This window comes from Homo sapiens, chromosome 7, assembly GCF_000001405.40.
Source record: "Homo sapiens chromosome 7, GRCh38.p14 Primary Assembly".
NCBI lineage: Eukaryota > Metazoa > Chordata > Mammalia > Primates > Hominidae > Homo > Homo sapiens.
The window spans coordinates 102,267,879-102,286,785 of record NC_000007.14 but is presented as its reverse complement, the minus strand read 5'-3'; the positions used below and the strand labels follow the sequence as shown (position 1 = coordinate 102,286,785).

The following is an 18,907-nucleotide window of genomic DNA, read 5'->3' as shown; positions in this document are numbered from 1 at the left end:
CGCGTCCTGGCCCCGCCCCCTCCCGCCCCCACTTGCGCCGCTCAGGCCCCGCCCCCGGCCATCCGCGGAGCCCGAGCGGCGCCGGTGGCCGGTGCTTGCTGGCTCCCCGCAGCTGCGGTGCCGAGACTGCCCGGTCCTGGGGCCCGGAGAGAGGGGTTAGGAGCCGGCTCCGAGTCGCCCCATCTGGGCGGGGGTCCCCATGTCGCCGAGCCGGCCCCAGGCCAGGCGCGGGACTCCCACTCCTCCTCGTGGAGGCCACCCCTCGAGCCCGCGGTGGTGGTGGCCCCGGGAGCGCGGAGCGTGGGGCCGGGGGAATGTCCTGCGTGGCGGGTGTATGGGACGCGGACGCCCTCGAAGCGCCCCTCGCTGACGGGTGCTTCGCGGGAGCCGCCGCTGTGGCCAGACTCTCCGCAGCAGGGACAATGGGAGCCTGGAGGAGGCCTGGATGTCGCAACGGAGGAAGTCGACGCCTGGTTCTCATAAATCTCGAGGGCGCCACCACGCCCCCTCCCTGCAGCCCTCCGGTGCGGGAAATCGCCCCCGGGCCACAGGGCGGGACGGCCCCCCTGAGCGCAGTGCCCCCACCACCCAGCCTTCGCTGTGATGGGGGCCTGATGCCACCCGGAGAGGTGTCAGAGATCATAGAGGGGCGATGAGGGGCCACAACCCTGGCACCTTCCTCACCCCTGCCTGGCTCCAGAACTCGCCTGCTTTAGGGCAGAGACCAGTGGGGCTGAGGAAACAGTCCCGCTGGGCTTTGCGGGGCATTTGTAGCCTGACCCCTGGTGCTGAGGGCACAGCGCGGGGGCTCTGGGAGGCTTCCTGAAAGAGGTGCAGGGGGCTCAGCAGGCCTGGAAGGGGTCTGAGAGGGGAGGGAGGGCTTCGGTGGGGGCAGAGGTGTGGAAAGGGCCGCTCAGAGAAGAGAGTAGTCTTGCTCCTGGAGATAGCAGGGGGGGACCCCTGGGTGTCTTCTCCCCTCATCTCCCTCCTTGTCCCCTGCCCCCACCTCTGGCAGTTCTGTCCTGGTCTCCTTGCCAGCCGGAGCTGCCTCCATCTGTCGCCCTCCCGGGCCCAAACTGACCTCTGACTTTTCCCAGAGCCATTTCCCATCTCTAATTTACAGACAAGGGTTTTTATCAAACCCTTCTTAGGGATGGAAAGGTGGGGCTTCCAGAGTTGAAGGTGGAGGGGACAGAGCCTTCACCTGCTGCCCAAAACCCCGGTGCTGCCCTCCACGGGGGCACGGAAGACAGGCAGACCCCTTCCCTGCCCCACATCTCGGCTCTGTTCCCTCCGCAGGACCAGGCCAGCAGACACTTTAATGAAAGCTTCGGCAGTGGGCCAGCCCTCGATCGGAGCTGCACACAGGCCTGCACGCCTGGTTGGGAACCAGGACACCTATGAATGAGGCCGGGAAGGGGGAGGAGGGGGTGCCCGAGAGTGGGAGAAAGGGAAGCTCCATACATGGCCTGGTTGTGGTCTCCACCCTCCTGGGAGAGGGGAGAGCCTGACCCGCGGTGGACTAACCTGGTTCAGAGTAGTGGGCTGAACTCCACTGCTGGGATGATAGCGGCCAGAGAGGGTCCTGAGATGGGAAGCCATGGGCAGGACAATAGCTTGGATCCATCCCCAGGGAGGAAGAAGTGAGGAGGGGCCGGCGGCAGAGCGCCTCGGACCCACAAGGAGGAACTGATGGAGATGTGGAAGTGGCTGTGGGGGTGGAGGGGGCGTGGTTGGCCAAGAGCAGCTGTCGCCTCGCTGGGGATAGGAATGAAGGTCAGGGAGGAAAGGTCCATCCTGGGTCCCTGAGGGCAGGAGGCTTGAGGGGCTTGGAAGAAGTCCTCATGGGGGAGATGAGGGGTGCTGGGACGGGGACCCCAAAGAAAGGCCCCTGGATACACATGCTTTAGACTGTTCAGAACTAAAATGGAGACAGAGGTAGCACAGGGGACCCTGGCCTGGTGGGCTGCAGTGGGGGACCTGGGTTTGCAGCCAGTCTTGTGACAGCTGGACAATGAGTTAATGCACCCACTCCAGACCCAGAGAATGCGCTCCTCTATCTGAGGCTGGGCTGGAGGTGAGGTGGCCCAGAACCTGTGTCTCGGGGGGTTCCCATGCGAGGCTGGTGCTCAGGGAGATTGATGGGCACGGGCTTTGCAGCCCCTGGCAGGCGGGGGCCCATGGGAAAGGGGAGCACAGAAAGGGAAGCAGAGATTCCCCAGGAACTGACGTGGACCAAGACACGTCATACACCCAACCACAGCCCGACAGGTGGTTTTTTTTTTTTTTTTGAGATGGAGTCTCACTCTGTTTCCCAGGCTGGAGTGCACTGGCACGATCTCAGCTCACTGCAACCTCCGCCTCCCGGGTTCAAACGATTCTCCTGCCTCACCCTCCTGAGTGGCTGGGATTACAGGCATGCGCCACCATGCCCAGCTAATTTTTGTATTTTTGGTAGAGACGGGGTTTCACCACGTTGGCCAGGCTGGTCACGAACTCCTGACCTCAAGTGATCCACCTGCCTCGGCCTCCCAAAGCGCTGGGATTACAGGTGTGACCCACCGCGCCTGGCCCCGGGTGGTTTTTGAATAAAGGAATGGGTTTCCCTTTTTGATGGTGCTACTTGTCCTCTCAAAAGCACTCGGACACTGGATCTGGGTTTCAGCAGAGCTCTGAATGTACTCATGGAATTCCTGGAGATGAGAAGAGGGGGAGGAATGTTCTGTGTGCCCAGCTGTGAGGCCAGCCCCAGCTCCCAGGGGTGGCACCGCAGGCATCCCCACCAGCCTCCAGTCCCTCCAGCGTCCCAGAGCACAGGGCACCAGGGTGGCTGCAACCGTGGTTTATTTCAAATGTGCAAAGCTAAATATGCAACTACAAATCTAACTCAGGAAGGCCTGCCAGTGGCCCTGAGAGGTGGCCGTGCTAGGGTGGTCCACAGCCAGTTCTGATTGGCTAGGAGACGTTCAGACCCCTCATACCAATCCATGAGTCTGAAGAGACTGGGGCTCGGGGGCTCATTAGAGACTCTTCCTTATCTAGAAACCAGAATATCTTGCTAAAGAAGAAAGCAGAAATCACATGGGTCTGGGGGCAGGGAGGGGGTAATAGAAACTGTTCCGCTGGCTGGGGCTCTCTCTCTTGGGGTGCAGTGGGGGAGGGGGCAGACTCTGTCAAGCCTCATATACTCTGCAGGGTGGGGCTGGTGGCAAAGGCAGGCTGGGGGTGCTGGACTCAAAGCCTGCTGTCCTGGAAGGAAGCGTCTTCCACCTCTTACGGGGCATGGGGGGATCCTAGGAGAGCCCAAGAGGATCGCAGTGCAGACAGGCCCAAGCTGGATTAACCGCAGCTGGAATCGGTGGTCACCCAATTAGCCTCGCAGCTGAGGGACCTCTGCCACCAGGGCTAGAGGTCAGGCTGCGGGCAGAGCCCTAACCTGAGGTGGGGGCTGAGAGGGTCTCTGCGGCTTAGCCTGGCCGGGCATTGGGGGCTCGCTCTCTGGACCTAGCGGGCCTGATGTGACCGAGACATTCTTTCAAGGGGACCCGAGGTGACCTGGGGCCTCTGGCAGCTGCTGGACAGCGGATAAGGGCAGTTTCCATGGGGGATTCTTCAGGGGAGTCTAAGTGATTAGATGCACTGAGCAGTCGGGGTGGAGGCGCAGCCGTCACTGTCACGGGGGAGGCCCCGGGGTATCACTGCCACAAGTCACCAGCCGCAGCCCCGTTGTCATTCTCGTGGAACTTGTGCAGGTGGTCAGCGAACCTGGGGGACACGGGAAGCTTTGCTGAGGCCGAGTGTGTGTGTTGGGGAAGGGGGGTGTGTACCATGTGATGGGGTGGGGCTAGGGGGTAGTGGATACCGGGAGTAGGGGTAGGGGGAGGGCCAGAATGGGGGGCTGTGATGGAGGGCTAAGGAGTGGGGGACATGAGGCAGGAACTCGGGGGTGTTGCGGGGGTGCTGGGAGCTCGCTGTGGGGCTGAGGGGGGGCCCAAGTGGGGGTCCTCACTTCTTGGCGCAGAAGGTGGCACAGTCCCTCTCCATGCTCTCGCTCCATGCCAGCTTGTAGAGCACCTGGCCAGGTGGAGACACGGTGAGCTGCCCGTTCGCCTCAAGGCCACCCCTGCAGCCCACCCATGGCCCCTGGGCCTGGCCTGGAACATAAAGGTTCTCGAGCCCCAGACTCCGGGGCGGGTGGGTCTTAGACATGTTCCTGCACCCACTGCTTCTGCAGATGATCAGATGGGCCCAGACACGGAGGCACCTCCTCTAATACTGTGGGCCAACCCTTGGAAGGGCCAGGAGCCGCTGGACCCTGGGGTCAGAACTTGAGCCCAGGTTAGCTCTGTAGGGGCCATCTTGACTGTGCGGGGGACAGGAGTCCCCAAGGCTGGATCCTTCCAGAGACACAGCCTTCCACCCCTCTTCTCCCCCAACTTGGCAGACATGGAGGCCCTTATCCGCTAACTAGAACGCCACCTCCACAGCTGGGGAGGTTAGTTCAAGACGCCCCTTCTCTGTGCAGTCTTCGTGACTGTCCCTTGGTGGAGTTCATTAGACCTGCTCCCTTCCCACTCCATCCCTTCTTCCTATGAAGCCCGTTCAGGACCAGTCCCAGATGTGATCAGCCAGGCCTCTTTCACGGAGCGGCCCGGCTGGTGCCCTGGCCAGAGGTCCCAATGGGGTGGGTCCTTCTCGTCCCTGGGGTGGGCCAAGGCTCTCGAAGGGGAGAGGCATGGCCGCAAGCTAGAGATGCAGCTTGGGGTAGGCCCAGGGGCCAGGCCACCGTAACAGGCCCCTGCTGCCCTGGAGGTCAGGGCTGGGGATGGTGAATGTGCCTCTGGCCCGCCCGTGTGCACACTCACCAGGAAGACCAGGCAGTGCAGGAACAGTGTGTAGAAGAAGCCGATGGTGCGCGCCATCTTGTTGGAGAGAACCAGACGCCCCTGGGAGCAAGGAGGGGGTGAGTGGGGATGGGGCCGGCCTCACCCACCCCTGCAGGGCTGCCTGGGCTTCACAGAAAGGGCCCTAGGGTGGCAAGGGGAGGGAAGGGACAGGAAGCTGGGGCCCCTATTCCATCATTATGGGCCAGGGACATGGGCTGCTGGAATTCTTTTTTTTTTGAGACAGAGTCTCCCTCTGTCGCCCAGGCTGGAGTGCAGTGGTGTGATCTTGGCTCACTGCAACCTCCACCTCCTGGGTTCAAGTGATTCTCCTGCCTCAGCCTCCTGAGTAGCTGGGATTACAGGTGTGCGTCACCACGCCCAGCTAATTTTTGTATTTTTACTAGAGATAGGGTTTCACTATGTTGGCCAGGCTGGTCTCGAACTCCAGACCTCAGGTGATCCGCCCAACTTGGCCTCCCAAAGTGCTGAGATTACAGGCGTGAGCTGCTGTGCCCGGCCACCGGAATTCTTTAAAAACGTTTTTTTAGACAAGGTTGCCCAGGCTGGAATGTAGTGGTCACAGCTCACTGTAGCATTGACTTCCTAGGCTCAAGTGATCCTCCTCCGTCAGCCTCCTGAGTAGCTGGGACTACAGGTGCACACCACTGCGCCTGGCTAATTTTATTTTTTGTAGAGACAGGATCTTACTGTGTTGCCCAGGCTGGTCTCGAACTCCTGGGCTCAAGCAATCCTCCCACCTCCCAAAGTGCTGGGATGACAGGTGTGAGCCACCATGTCTGACTCTAGGCTGCAGGAATTCTGAGGAATGCCCCCTCTACAGCCCAGTTCAGAACCATGCTGTGAACCATGCTCTCAGAGGATCTGCCCGGGAAGGGGAGAGACCCTGTCCCAGATCACACAGCCACTCTTGGCAGGGCTGGCGGCTCCTCCAGCCTGGGCTGCAGGGCAGGTGAAGAGGTGCCTGGAGACAGAGGCTCAGGCCTGTCCAGGGAGGGGGTGGGTAGGGGCAGGGACTCACCATGCTGAGGGTGGCCTTGTCCCAGGGACTCAAGCTCAGGTACTTCCTCTGCCGCTCCTGCACAGGGAGGGACAGTCAGGAAAGGACCCCAAAGGACCTCACAGGCCCTGGCTTGTGGCAGAGAGCAGGGCCTGGCCAGCCACAGGACACCCTGCCCGCTGTTCTTGCAGACCCCCAGGGGGCTGCCAGGGTGCTGCCAGGGGCTTCCCTGGGTGCACAGTCTACTCAGTGTGACATTCTGGACTCCCCTGACATCTGTGAGAGCCCCTCCCCGCCTCTGCAGCCGTCCATTCTGCCCATGGGAAAGTACTCCACGGGCAGAACTTCTGCAGTCTGGGTGGGGGAGGGGAGTTGTGGGGTGGGGTCCCCACAATGGATCGCCCGATTCTGGGAGCTGTAACTGGTTTTTCCTTGTCTGCCTGTCCCGCAAATGCACTCCAGGTTAACCCGGTCACTGCCACACACCCTCGGGTAGTCCTCGGCAGGTGTTCCTGAATGGGCCCTGGGCCTACATTGCACTGAAGCGGTGGGGAGGCTGTCTTGGGGGGGCTCCTGGCCTGAGGGGCCAGGGTGTGCAGGGCTGGCGTGGCAAGGCTGGCCGAGAGCACCCAGACAAGGGCAGGTGGAGGGGAGCCAGGGAAGGCCGAGTGCTCAGGGATAGGGGCCAAGTGATGGGGGGACCCCTGGGCTTCCCTGGGCTGATGCCCCTCCCCTCCCCTGCCCAGGCTGGGCTCACGAACCCGCTTGCTGAAGGAGGAGAAGGGGTCCAGGCGCTCCTCGTACTGGGACGAGTACCGCAGCTCCGTGTCATCACTGCCGCTGCCCTGCACAGACAGGGAGGGGAAGAGAACCAGTCAGTGCCTTGGGGCCCAGCGGGAAGGGCAGGAGCCCAGGGGAGCCTCAGTTTCCTCATCTGCAAAAAAGGGAAGTGGGGGAGGGAGCCCTAGATCTCAGAGGCGGGAGGAGAGGGTGCTGGGGTGACAATGTGAATGTGGCTGGTGCCTCCTGCCACAGGGGCATGGAGTTACCCATGGGGTCAGGGCCACAGTGCCTCCGGGCACAGATGGGGAACTGAGGCCCAGGCAGGGCCGGGCGCAGCTGCAGGAAGGTGGGTTTGCTGGGAGTGTGGGGTGGTCATGCGAGCAGGCAGGCAGCTGGGAGAGGAGACGCCCCCCAGCTGGCCACCCAGAGCCAGGCTGGTTTGCAGAGTCTGAGTGCCCTCTGGTGGCCAAGGAGCGGCTCTGATGGGTGGGGACAGGGCTGGGGGCTGCTGGGCCCCAAAGGAAGAGGGAGAGGTGAATCCCTGCCCCACTATGCCCCACGCTCTTCTCTCACTCATAGAAAGGGTTTCCTGGCACGGGGTGGCCCCTGGGAGGCCTGGGGGCTGAGAGAAGCCACGCACAGGCCTCCCTAGCCCAGAAAAACTCGGCAAGTGAGTTTCTGATCCACTCTCTTGGTTGCTTTTTGGAGTGTGGACCAAATTCTGTTTACATTTTTTATTATTGCTTATTTATTTATTTGAGACAGAGTTTCGCTCTGTCGCCCAGGCTGGAGTGCAATGGTGTGACCTCGGCTCACTGCAACCTCCACCTCTCAGGTTCAAGCGATTCTCCTGCCTTAGCCGCCTGAGTAGCTGGGATTACAGGTGCATGACACCACGCCCAGCCAATTTTTATATTTTTAGTAGAGACGGGGTTTCACTATGTTGGCCAGGCTGGTCTGGAACTCCTGACCTCAAATGATCCGCCCGCCTCAGCCTCCCAAACCGCTGGGATTACAGGCCTGAGCCACCATGCCCAGCCTATTTATTTTTATTTTTTGGAGGCAGGGTCTTGCTCTGTCACCTGGGCTGGAGTGTAGTGGCTGGATCTCAGCTCACTGCAGCCTGTACCTCCTGGGCTCAAGTGATCCTCCCACCTCAGCCTCCTGAGTAGCTGGGACTACAGGCACGTGCCACGATGCCTGGCTAATTTTTGTATTTTCAGTAGAGATAGGGTTTCACTATGTCGGCCAGGCTGGTCTCAAACTCCACCCGCCTCGGCCTCTCACGGTGCTGGGATTACAGGCATGAGCCACTGTGCCTGGCCCTTCTGGCTAGTATTTTCTTTTCTATTTTATTTTATTTTATTTATTATTATTTTATTTTACTTTACTATTTTATTATTTTATTTTATTTATTTTATTTTATATTTTATTTTATTTTTTTATTTTATTTTATTTTATTTTATTTTAATTTTATTTTATTTATTTTTATTTTATTTTATTTTTGAGACGGAGTTTCGCTCTTGTTGCCCAGGCTGGAGTGCAGTGGTGTGATCTTGGCTCACTGAAACCTCCGCCTCCTGGGTTCCAGCGATTCTCCTGCCTCAGCCTCCTGAGTAGCTGGGACTACAGGTGTGCACCACCATGCCCGGATACTTTTTTTGTATTTTTAGTAGAGACGGGGTTTCACCATATTGGCCAGGCTGGTCTCGAACTTCTGAGCTCAGGCAATTCTCCTGCCTCGGCCTCCCACAGTGGTGGGATGACAGGCATGAGCCACCGTGCCTGGTCCTTCTGGCCAGTTTTTATGAATGAATCTGGACAGGGGCTCCACTCTGTGAGCTTCTCCCGGCTTAGGGAGGGCAGCTAGCAGGCAGGTGGGTGGGTGGGGAGATGTCGGAAGGCCTCAGGGGTCTCTGGGGCCCAGTGCTGCCCAGCAGGTCTTGGTCCCCGACCCTCCCATCTCCAGAGCCCTGATCGGCCTCTCTCCCTGCCTGGTCCACCTGGAGCTGAGGCCAGGGGAGGGCCCTCACCCGGCCAGGGTAGCTCTGCAGGAACTTGATCTTCTCAAAGAGCTTGATGTTGTCGGCGCGCAGGCTGTCCAGCTCACTCTGCAGGGCCTGGAGGGTGTGCTGGGCCAGGCGGTTCTCCTGGGGGGGGAGGGGCAAGGAAAGGGGTGGGGGAGAGGCCTCCGTGCTGGCACAGGTGCTGCTCCGTCTACCTGGAGCCCCTTCTGTGCCCACAGCCTTCTCCTTGACCTGCCTGACTCTGTAAAGCTGCCCCTTCCCCCACTGTGGCCCCACCACAGGCAGAAGTCAGGGATCTTGGGTCAGGTTTCTTCATATGTATCACGTTGGTGCAAATGTAATCGTGGTTTTTGCCCTTAAAAGTAATGGCAAACACCATGATTACATTTGCATCAACCTTAATATATGACAGAGCAAGACCCTGTCTATATATTTTATTTTATTTTTTATTTTTATTTTTATTATTTTTTTGATATGGAGTTTCGCTCTTGTTGCCCAGGCTGGAGTGCAACGACGCAATCAATCTCGGCTCACTGCAACCTCTGCCTCCCGGGTTCAAGCGATTCTCCTGCCTCAGCCTCCCAAGTAGCTGGGATTACAGGCATGTGCCACCATGCCTGGCTAGTTTTTTTGTATTTAGTAAAGACAGGGTTTTACCATTTTGTTCAGGCTGGTCTCGAACTCCTGATCTCAGGTGATCCACCCATCTCTGCCTCCCAAAGTGTTGGGATTATAGGCGTGAGCTGCTGCGCCTGGCCCCTGTCTATATATTTTAGAGACAGGGTCTTGCTCTATCACCCAGGCTAGAATAAAGTGGCATGACCAGAGCTCACTGCAGCCTCAGCCTCCCGACTCAAGCGATCCTCCCATCTCAGCCTCCCAGGTAGCTGGGACTATAGGCTCACACCACCATGCCCAGCTACTTTTTTATTTTTGCAGAGTCGGGGTCTCACTGCGTTGCCCAGGCTGGTCTCAAACTCCTGGGCTCAAGCAATCTTCCCACTTCGGCCTCCCAATGTGCTGGGATTACAGGCATGAGCCACGATGCCTGGTCAGATTTCTTCATACTTTTTTTTGTCATTGGTATTAGCCTTTTAAAAACTATTATTGAGATATAATACCCATAACATAAACATCAGCATTTCAAAGTGTACAGTTCGGTCATTTGTATTCACAATGTTATGCAACCATCCCCACTACCTAATTCCAGAACATTTAAAATCACCCCAATAAGAAACCCCAAACCTGCCAGCAGTCACTCCCCATTCCCTCCTCCCCTACTGCCTGGTAACCGGCAGTCTCTTTTTTGTCTCTATGGATTTGCCTATACCGAATGTTCGTATTCATGGAATCACACGCTGTGGTTTTAATATTTGCCAATCTAAAGGCAACGTGAAATGGAATCTCAGTTTTCAATTTATTCAAATGCTTGAATAAGTGTTTCTTTCACACTATTCAAAATTCAAGCAGTGGCCAGCGCGGTGGCTCACGCCTGTAATCCCAGCACTTTAGGAGGCTGAGGTGGGCAGATCACCTGAGGTCAGGAGTTCGAGACCAGCCTGGCCAATATGGAGAAATCCTGTCTCTACTAAAAATACAAAAATTAGCTGGGTGTGATGGCAGACGCCTGTAATCTCAGCTATCCGGGAGGCTGAGGCAGAAGAATCGCTTGAACCCAGGAGGTGGAGGTTGCAGTGAGCCAGGATTGTGCCACTGCACTCCAGCCTGGGCAAGAGAGCGGGACTCGGTCTCAAAAAACAAACACAACCAAAACTTGAGCAGTACAAAAAAGTATATGGCAGTATGACGCTTCCTCTAAAAACGTTAAACATAGAATTACCATAGGATCTAGTAATTCCACTTCTGGGTAGATACCCAAAAGAATTGAAGGCAGAGACTTGGAGAGATATTTATACACCCATGTTCACAGCAGAATTATCCGCCACAGCCAAAAGGTGGAAGCAATGTAAATGAATAGGTGAATGGATAAACAAAATGTGGTCTATATGCACAATAAAATATTATACAGCCTTAAAAAGGAAGGATTTTTTTTTTTTTTTGAGATGGAGTCTTGCTCTGTCACACAGGCTGGAGTGCAGTGGCACGATCTCATCAGCTCACTGCAACCTCTACCTCCCAGGTTCAAGCGATCCTCCTGCCTCAGCCTCCCAAGTAGCTGGGACTACAGGTGCCCGCCACCATGCCCGGCTAATTTTTGTATTTTTAGTAGAGACGGGGTTTCACCATGTTGGCCAGGCTGGTCTCAAACTCCCAACCTCAAGTGATCCACTTGCCTCAGCCTCCCAAAGTGTTGGGATTACAGGTGTGAGCCACCGCACCTGGCTCACCCTGCATTCTTGCAGTGCCACTGCCTGGCTTAAATCCTTCCTTGGTGCCCCTCCCTGCAGATTGAAGGCCACGCCTCCCAGCCTGGCAAGAGGGCACTTGCCTGGCGACTTGTTTCACCTGGAATGATCTATGCTCCCTTCTGGCTCACTGGCCCCCGTGTCTCCTCTACTGTGAGCATCTGAGTCTTCTTTCAAAGCCCAGTGTGGCATGACCTCCTCCAGGAAGCCCTCCCTGACTGCACAGAACAAATCTCTTCCCCCTGAGGTTTACGGTCTGTGCCACATCTCTCTCCTGAAAGCCTGTGTGTTCCCCAACTGTGTCCTTGGGCCCAAGGAGCATCAGGGAGAGAAGGATGTGACTCACGGCCTCAAGCTCCTGGTTCCGGGCACGGAAGCGCTCCCTCTGGCTGGAGATGATGGAAAGCAGTGAATCCACCTGGCCCTCTGGGAGGGCACCGCTGGCTGGTGCTGCAGGTCCTAGCAGGTAGAGGAGGGTGGCTTGGGGGGTGGCAGGAGGTGGAACCCAGCAGGCGGCCCTTTGGGGTGGGTCCCCCAGCCCTGGGGGATTTCTGCCAAATGCCATGGGGTAGAAGCCACATGGTGTCTGACTCCCTGGTGCTGGGCAGGTCGGGGAAGGGGAGGGGACAGCCAGGGGAACCGGGGAGCGTGAGAATGGATGGCAGGGGCTGACCTGACAATACGCACGCTGGGGAAGGGCCCAGCACCCCCGTCTGCGCTGTCAGAGGGCCAGGCCCAGAACTCCCCTCCCAGTCACTCTGTCCTTGAATCTGAGACCCTTGCAGCTGTCAGACTAGGCCTATATCCCCTGGGGAAGCAAAGGGGCAGGAGGGGAACTGGGGAGGCATGGGCACACCCCCAGTATCCCAGTCCAGCAGCCTCAGTTTCTGTCCTCAATACCCAAGGAGGCTGCCTTCCCCTCACTGCACGGACCTCCGGCTGCACTTTGGCAGTGAGGCCTGGCTGACCACCACTCACCAGCCTTTCACAGGCCACCGGCAGGGCTGAAGGGTCAGGGCCCCAAGGTGGGGGGTGTCAGTCTAAGATCCAGAAAGGCAGGTTGAGGGCTCATTCACCTTTTTGTTTTTTAGAGACAGGGTCTCGGTCTGTCGCCCAGGCTGGAGTGCAGTGGCACCATCATAGCTCACTGCAGCCTCCAATTCCTGGGCTCAGGCGATCCTCCCACCTCGGCCTCCAAAGTAGCCGGGACTATAGGTGTGCGCCACCACACCTAGCCTTACCCGACCCTTTGAAGGTTGCTGCTGCATTGCAGGCGTGGGGGCCTGACCTTCTTAGAGGAAGGGACTACTCTTTGGGGATCTGTGTTCTCAGGCGGTATCACCTGTCTCCTCTTCCCTCCTCCTCCCTCCTCCCATGGGTCAGGCCTCTCCTTACCGTAGAATAGGGCAGTGGCCTCTTTGATGGGCTCTGGGATCTTCTCCAGGCGGTGCTCAGCGGCACCCTGCAGGTGACAGGAAGCGATGAGGAGGTGCCTCCGCACAATGGGCACGGAATATTCCCTTTCAGCATGGCCAAGGCAAATGGCAGGGTGGGTGTGGCAAGGAGTGGGTGGGGCCATCCGGGGTGCAGGCTGGCTGCAGGAGGGCCCGGACCTGGACACGTGACATGAGCTACCAAAGAAGAGATGGCTGGGCCCTGAGTCACTCCTGAGGCCAGAGTTCAGCAGCAGTGCAGCTCTCCTCGCAGCCACTCAGCTTTGACATGCATCAGACACCTGGGCCTCCCTGGCCCTGCAACCAGCCTGCCACGTGACCTGGGACAGCCCAGACTTCTCTCCCGGAGTCCCACTGTGGACTCTACAGAATGGGAGGTGGGCGAGGAGATGCTCTCCCTGGGCTGTTTATGTCCCAGCCTGCTGTGATCTCTGGGCTCCAGGTCCTTTAGCTGGGAGATGGGTGCATGGTCCTGGCCTTGCCTCTGCCTCTGCTCTCAGGGCAGTGCCTGGAAAGACGGGCCTCTGTGCTACCGCTAGGAAGCCCTGTGGCCTCTGCCCCATGGCCTGTCACCCCAAATCGGAGGCAGGGTGGTATTCATGGAGTAAGCAGGGAGAACCCAATGGTTTTAGGTGACAGCCCTTCTGGGTTGTCACCAGCTGCCTGATACACAGGCTAATCTGGGAAGTCAGTGTTTGCAGAGGCTAAGTCAGTTGGGCAGGTATCGAGATGGGCATGGGGCAGGGGGGTGGGCTCACCTCGGCATCGGGCCGCTGGATGGACTGAATGATGCTCAGGTCCTGCTCCAGGCGGGCGATCAGCTCTCTCTGCTCAGTGGCTGTGGCCACAGCCTCAGTGATACGGACTTGCAGCTCCGCACAGCGTCCTGTGGCCAAAGGAAGACATGGCCGTCAGAGGGAGCCTGGTGGGACCCTTGGTGCCCTCCCCTGGTTCTGCCTCTCCAACCCACGGTCTGGAAGCAGGGCTGCCTGGATGCTGTGAGAGTGCTGGCTATTCCCTCCCAACTCACCACTGCCTAGAAGACCCCATTAGACCTAGGGCCTCCTCCAGGAAGCCCTCCCTGACTGTCAGAGGCACTCCTGGCCCCAAGCACTCTCTGGATTGATGAAATCCCCTGGGTAGGAGAAGGAGCTCAGGTCAGGGATTAGGAGAAACCGGTGCAATGTGGCTCTGCCCACGGCTGTTTGGGGGGCCCTGGCCAGCCCCTTTCCCTCTCTGGGCCTCACTTTGCTTGTCAGGCAGGGGCAAGGAGGCTCAGGTTGCTTCCTAGCTGATGTTCTGGGATAATGTCCAGTGGGAAGCCTGGGGGTAGGAGAGGCAGAGAAAGCCGCGGGGGTGCAGTGGGGCGCGTAGGGGTGCCACCTCTGGGCTGACAACAGAGGTGCTTGGTCCCGCCCCCAACAGAGGCTCCAGCTGCAGTGGTTGGGGTGGCGTGGTCCCCAAGGAGTCCCCCGACCCACAGCCCTGTCTGTCTCTCCCTCCTCCAGGTGCCAGGGTCATCTTTATAACAAAGCATCCAAACTGTGACTTTCCTGCCCTGCAGGAGGGTGAGAGATGTCGGGGAAGGGACCCAGACCCAAGCACGCATTGCCAGGCAGGACTTCAGTGACCCAGGAGCCAGGCAGCCCTGAGGGTGAGGTTTGGCCCTGTTTCTGGTTGACTGTGCGGCTCAGGGCCACTGGATCCCCCTTTCTGGTCCCAAATGGTGACATGTAACATGGTAACAATAAACCTTGTTTAGGGTGAGCTGTTGGGGCCGCAGAGAGGGAGACTGAGGCCTGAGACCCAGGACGCTGTCCTTTGGGGTAGGCTGCACAGCCGCCAGGGGGCACTGTGGCCTCAGAAATGCACAAAGGCTGCAGGCTGTGGGCAGTGCCAGGGAAATGGTATGTGCGGCCTCCTCCGTGGACTCATCCCTGACTGCGCGGCCTGCTGACCGGCTGTCATACCTGCCCTGGCTGGGCTTAGTGTCCTGGGCCAGGATGGGGCAGCCCAGCCTCACCCCCACATGCTCCTGGGTTCCCACTGCACACCAAGTCCTTATAGATGAGTCAGAAAAGACGATTCACATTTTACAGTCAAAGAACGGAGGCTTCCCGACCTGGGACCAAACCCAAGGCATCCACCCCCAGCTCTGTCTAAGCCCTTGCTCACACCAGAGTCTCGCCTCGTTCAGGCCCCGAATGGATTTATTTTATTTTATTTTATTGAGACAGAGTCTCACTCAGTCACCCAGGCTGGAGTGCAGTGGCTCCATCTCGGCTCACTGCAACCTCCGCCTCCAAGGTTCAAGCAATTTTCCTGCCTCAACCTCCTGAGTAGCTGGGATTACAGGCGCCTGCCACCGTGCCCAGTTAATTTTTGTATTTTTAGTAGAGACGGGGTTTAGCAATGTTGTCCAGGTTGGTCTCAACCTCAAGTGATCTGTCCGCCTCAACCTCCCAATGTGCTGGGATTACAGGCGTGAGCCACCGCACTGGGCCCCTAAATGGATTTCTTCCTTCAGACATTCACTGAGCCCCTGGGTCCCTGGCAGGAAGGTGGTATCTGCGGAAGTGAGGAGGGGATGAGGGAAGAGGCAGGACCTGAAGGCAGGACCCGGCCTTGGAGGGAGGACTGTCGGGGGCAGGGTTGGGGCTGGCCCTGGGCCACCTGCAGGGACTTTAAGGAGACCCCAAAGGGGAGAGGTCCAGAGAGACGATAAATACCATGCCCTCCTGGCCTGAGTACAGAGTCCTTGGGTCCTGGCCTGTGGGATGGGATGGCAGAGCCGGCCACACATGCTTAGGATGGGAGGTGGACAGCGGTTGTGAGATGTAGGGAGAGGAAACCACCAGAAAGCTAATGGGGCCTTGGGTCACATTAATAGAGGTGAAGGTCCTGGACCAAGGGAGGGGATGCTTCAGTTTGGCCACAAACAGGAGCACATCCAAGAACCGTGCTGGGACCATGGGGACAGACTCCTGGGATAAAAAGAGGGCGTTAAGCTCCAACAAGGCTCAGGGAAGCCACATTCCACCTCAGGGATGAGGGCCTGGGGGACAGAGAGACAGGGCTGAGATGGAGAACCTTTGCAGAGGTGACTTTTGCCTGGCCAGAGTGAGCCCTTTTCCCTGGAGGTGTGCGCCTGGCAAGAGGGGTGGATAAAAAGCTGCTGAGATGATTCCTTGCACTGCCTGTTTTATCTGCCCCCAGTCTGTGACCACCCCAGTGTGGTCTTGGTCAGGTCCCTGGGGTGGCAGCAACTTGCAGCTCCCAGCACCATCCGTGGGCACCAGGGAGATGATGGGGTGCGTGGGCCTGGTCCCCGTGCACTTGTTCCTGTGTCTGCTACTGCAGGGGTGGGCACACAGTCCTGCCGTGTATGTAGGTGACATTCTGTGCAGGTGTGAGCATCCTGGCTGCAAACCCTCTATCCTAGGCTGCCCCGGTTCCCAGCTGGTGGCCCGCTATCCTGGAAAAGGCCCATGTGTTAAGCTGGCCTGGAGGCCTGGCCATTGGCGCTGCTGCAGATGCTCTGGGCACTGGGTTAGCTCCTGAGGGGATCTGAGGGTGCAGGGCTGAGTGGTTGGGGGAGGCCATCCCTGAAGAGGTGGCTTGGGGTGATAGGAGCACAGGCCAGTTGCACGGGCAGCAGAATTGGGGGATGGCTGCTGGTGAGGCAGAGAGAACAGGCTGGGTAAGACAGGGCAGCAGAGGCTGGCAGACGGTGAGACTGGAGGGAAGGCTGTGGGTAGAGGGGGGTGGACAGAGAACTGGAGGCTGCAGGGGACAGGATCTGGACACTGTCCCAGAGCCCAGCTGGATCCCAGCAGCAACCAGAGCTGTGCTTTGAAACTGTCACTCCACGCTGGGAGGAAGCGAAGGCCAGGAGACTGGCTGTGCGGGCTTCCACCAGAGAGGGGCCTCAGTTAGATGTACTTAGAGAAGGACAGGGCCTCACCGGCCACGGGAGGGTCCCCTATCCCCCACCGGCTGCCTCACCCTGCCTTCTCTGCTGGAGGCTGGAACACGCAGGTGGGGAAGCTGGGGTGACATCTCTGGTGGCCACTTGATGTCAAGTCCAGAACCGGGCTTGCATTCTGGCCCTGCCTTTTATGAATTTCACGATCTTCGGCAAGTTCTTCAACCTCTGGAGTACAGGGCTCTGGGGCGAGGACACAGAAGGAGCTGGAGAGAGAGCTGTGGACCCCATCGCTGTACAGAACCCAGGTGGGGAGGCCCGGGCCTGGCCCCCTGTGGGGGAAGGGGTGGGCAGCTGGCTGGCTCGGTTCTGGTAAGCACGAAGGTGCTTGTGAACAGCTAAGGGCATGTGTGTGGTGGGGTTTGGACCTGTGGACCTGAGGCTGGATATGCTGGTTGAGGAGATCTAGGGCCCCAACGGTCAGAGCTTGGAAGCGTTTGGGGGGGGCATGGAAGAAGACAGTAAGATGAGGGAAAGTTTGGAACTTCTTAGAGACTTGTTCGATGGTTGTGACCAAAATGCTGTAATGAGTTAAGACTGTGGGGGTGGGCGTGGTGGCTCACGCCTGTAATCCCAGCACTTTGAGAGGCCGAGGCGGGCAGATCACCTGAGGTCAGGAGTTTGAGACCAGCCTGGCCAACATGGCGAAAACTCGTCTCTACTAAAAATACAAAAAAAAAAAAAAAAAAAAAAATTAGCCGGGCATGGTGGCGGACCCCTGTAATCCCAGCTATTTGGGAGGCTGAGGCAGGAGAATGGCTTGAACCTGGGAGGCGGAGGTTACAGTGAGCTGAGATGGCACCATTGTACTCCACCCTGGGCAACAAGAGTGAAACTCCATCTAAAAAAAAAAAGACTTTGGGGTACTGTTGGAAAGGCATGATTGTATTTTGCAATGTGAGAAGGACATGAGATTTGCGTGAGGGGGCAGGGGTGGAATTATATAGTTTGGATATTCATCCCTGTCCACATCTCATGTTGAAATGTAATCAAGCCAGGTGCAGTGGCTCTTGCCTATAATTCCAGCACTTTGGGAGGCTGAGGAGGGAGGATCACTGGAGCCCAGGAATTCGAGACCAGCCTGGGTAACATGGAAAAACCCTGTCTCTACACAAACAAACAAACAAACAAACAAACAAACAAACAAAAAAACCCACACAAAAAATTAGCTGGGTGTGGTGGTGTAGCTGTAGTCCCAGCTACTAGGGAGGCTGAGATGGGAGGATCACCTGAGCCCAGGAGGCAGAGGTTGCAGTGAGCTGTGATCACACCACTGCACTCTTGCTTGGGTGACAGAGTAAGACCCTGTCTCAAAAAAAAAAAAAAGTAATTAATCCCCAGTGTTGGAAGTGGGGCCTGGTGGGAGGTGTTTGGGGGACAGGGCGGGTCCCTTGTGGCGCGGTGCTGTCTCTGAGATAGGGATCTGGTTGTTTAAGGAGCGTGGCACCTCCCCCACCCCCATTCTCTCTCTCTTCCTCCTGGCCTCGCCATGTCTCACACCTGCTCCCACTTCGCCTTCCACCATGAGTAAAGCCTCCAACGCCTCCCCAGAAGCCAAACCGACACCAGCGCCACGCTTCTGGTACAGCCTGCAGAACCATGAGCCAAAGAAACCCCTTTTCTTGATAAATTACACAGCCTCAGGTATTTCTCTATAGCAATGCAAGAACAGCTAATACAGAAAATCAGGGGTGGTGGACAGGTCCTGAGACAGTGCTGCTGTGAGGTGGCCAGAGCTTCAGGGGGTGATCCACAAAGGGGGTCCCGCAAAGACCCTGAGAAGAGGCAGCAGGAGGCAGGGGAGACAGCAGGAGGATGCATGTGAAGGCACCAAGATGAGGCAGGAGGGTCAATGAATATGGAGGGTCAGGGGGTCAGAAGCTACAGAGAGGCTGAGCGAGGCGAAGGTGTTGTCGTCGAGGTGGTGGGGGCATGCAGGGCTGCAAGGCACAGCCCGATGGGCAGAACTGGTGGAAGAGCAGTAACGTGTGCCCGAGAGGGGATCTTGAGAAGCATAGAGTGTGTGGAATGGACCATCTGCAACCCAGAAACCCAGGAGAGAGGGACAGATTTTGTTTAGGGGAGAGAGGGATGACAGGCGACGGGTGGATAAGTGAGCATAAGACAGGGAAAGGGGCTCAGAAAAGGAGTCTGTGGTGCAAGGGCCCAAGACGGTCCCCTTCCCCTCAGGAAAGACTGGGACCTCATCCTCTGGGAGAACCCACAAAGACATCCTAGAGGGGGCACCTCACAGAGGGGAGGAGGGAATCAAAGCATCTTTAAGGTCAAGACTTCAGGAGGGCCCGGTGCAGTGGCTCACGGCTGGAATACAGCACTTTGGGAGGCAGAGGTGGTAGCATCGCTGGAGCTCAGGTGTTTGAGACCAGC

The 18,907-nt window shown here is 57.8% G+C and overlaps 2 protein-coding genes across 11 annotated transcripts in view, besides 6 other annotated features; both read right to left on the bottom strand.

Moving 5' to 3' along the window:
• Window positions 1-1,645, bottom strand: part of SH2B2 (SH2B adaptor protein 2) — a 36,571-nt gene extending 34,926 nt beyond the window's left edge. For all 5 annotated transcript variants that reach the window (NM_001394426.1, NM_001393990.3, NM_001393991.3 and 2 more), the window contains exon 1: window positions 1,528-1,645. Coding sequence is in view for 1 of the 5 variants with exons in the window: in NM_001393995.1 (NP_001380924.1) it covers window positions 1,528-1,602 (75 nt within the window). In the remaining 4 variants the exon portion in view is untranslated. The remainder of the gene's footprint in view (window positions 1-1,527) is intronic.
• Window positions 21-600: a silencer, noted in NCBI's record as "silent region_18499". NCBI's record gives its function as "represses an Ori minimal core promoter by ATAC-STARR-seq in GM12878 lymphoblastoid cells {active_cell/tissue: GM12878}" and the evidence as "EXISTENCE:reporter gene assay evidence [ECO:0000049][PMID:35858748]".
• Window positions 2,378-2,562: a silencer, noted in NCBI's record as "fragment chr7:101927516-101927700 (GRCh37/hg19 assembly coordinates)". NCBI's record gives its function as "represses an EF-1alpha promoter that drives an FKBP-Casp9 reporter gene in an ReSE screen in K562 erythroleukemia cells {active_cell/tissue: K562}" and the evidence as "EXISTENCE:reporter gene assay evidence [ECO:0000049][PMID:32094911]".
• Window positions 2,828-18,907, bottom strand: part of CUX1 (cut like homeobox 1) — a 467,952-nt gene continuing 451,872 nt past the window's right edge. For all 6 annotated transcript variants that reach the window (NM_001913.5, NM_181500.4, NM_001202545.3 and 3 more), the window contains 9 exons: window positions 13,293-13,420; window positions 12,476-12,542; window positions 11,427-11,539; window positions 8,721-8,837; window positions 6,666-6,749; window positions 5,926-5,982; window positions 4,866-4,946; window positions 4,010-4,074; window positions 2,828-3,765 (listed from right to left, as the gene is read on the bottom strand). In NM_001913.5, the coding sequence (NP_001904.2) occupies window positions 3,696-3,765; window positions 4,010-4,074; window positions 4,866-4,946; window positions 5,926-5,982; window positions 6,666-6,749; window positions 8,721-8,837; window positions 11,427-11,539; window positions 12,476-12,542; window positions 13,293-13,420 (782 nt within the window). In that variant the 3' untranslated portion in view covers window positions 2,828-3,695. The remainder of the gene's footprint in view (window positions 3,766-4,009; window positions 4,075-4,865; window positions 4,947-5,925; window positions 5,983-6,665; window positions 6,750-8,720; window positions 8,838-11,426; window positions 11,540-12,475; window positions 12,543-13,292; window positions 13,421-18,907) is intronic.
• Window positions 6,337-6,956: an enhancer, noted in NCBI's record as "H3K4me1 hESC enhancer chr7:101923123-101923741 (GRCh37/hg19 assembly coordinates)". NCBI's record gives its function as "activates a minimal SCP1, AML or CMV promoter by ChIP-STARR-seq in primed H9 embryonic stem cells {active_cell/tissue: H9 hESC(primed)}" and the evidence as "EXISTENCE:reporter gene assay evidence [ECO:0000049][PMID:30033119]".
• Window positions 6,957-7,575: an enhancer, noted in NCBI's record as "H3K4me1 hESC enhancer chr7:101922504-101923122 (GRCh37/hg19 assembly coordinates)". NCBI's record gives its function as "activates a minimal SCP1, AML or CMV promoter by ChIP-STARR-seq in naive and primed H9 embryonic stem cells {active_cell/tissue: H9 hESC(naive and primed)}" and the evidence as "EXISTENCE:reporter gene assay evidence [ECO:0000049][PMID:30033119]".
• Window positions 11,819-12,652: an enhancer, noted in NCBI's record as "H3K4me1 hESC enhancer chr7:101917405-101918238 (GRCh37/hg19 assembly coordinates)". NCBI's record gives its function as "activates a minimal SCP1, AML or CMV promoter by ChIP-STARR-seq in primed H9 embryonic stem cells {active_cell/tissue: H9 hESC(primed)}" and the evidence as "EXISTENCE:reporter gene assay evidence [ECO:0000049][PMID:30033119]".
• Window positions 18,713-18,870: a silencer, noted in NCBI's record as "fragment chr7:101911196-101911353 (GRCh37/hg19 assembly coordinates)". NCBI's record gives its function as "represses an EF-1alpha promoter that drives an FKBP-Casp9 reporter gene in an ReSE screen in K562 erythroleukemia cells {active_cell/tissue: K562}" and the evidence as "EXISTENCE:reporter gene assay evidence [ECO:0000049][PMID:32094911]".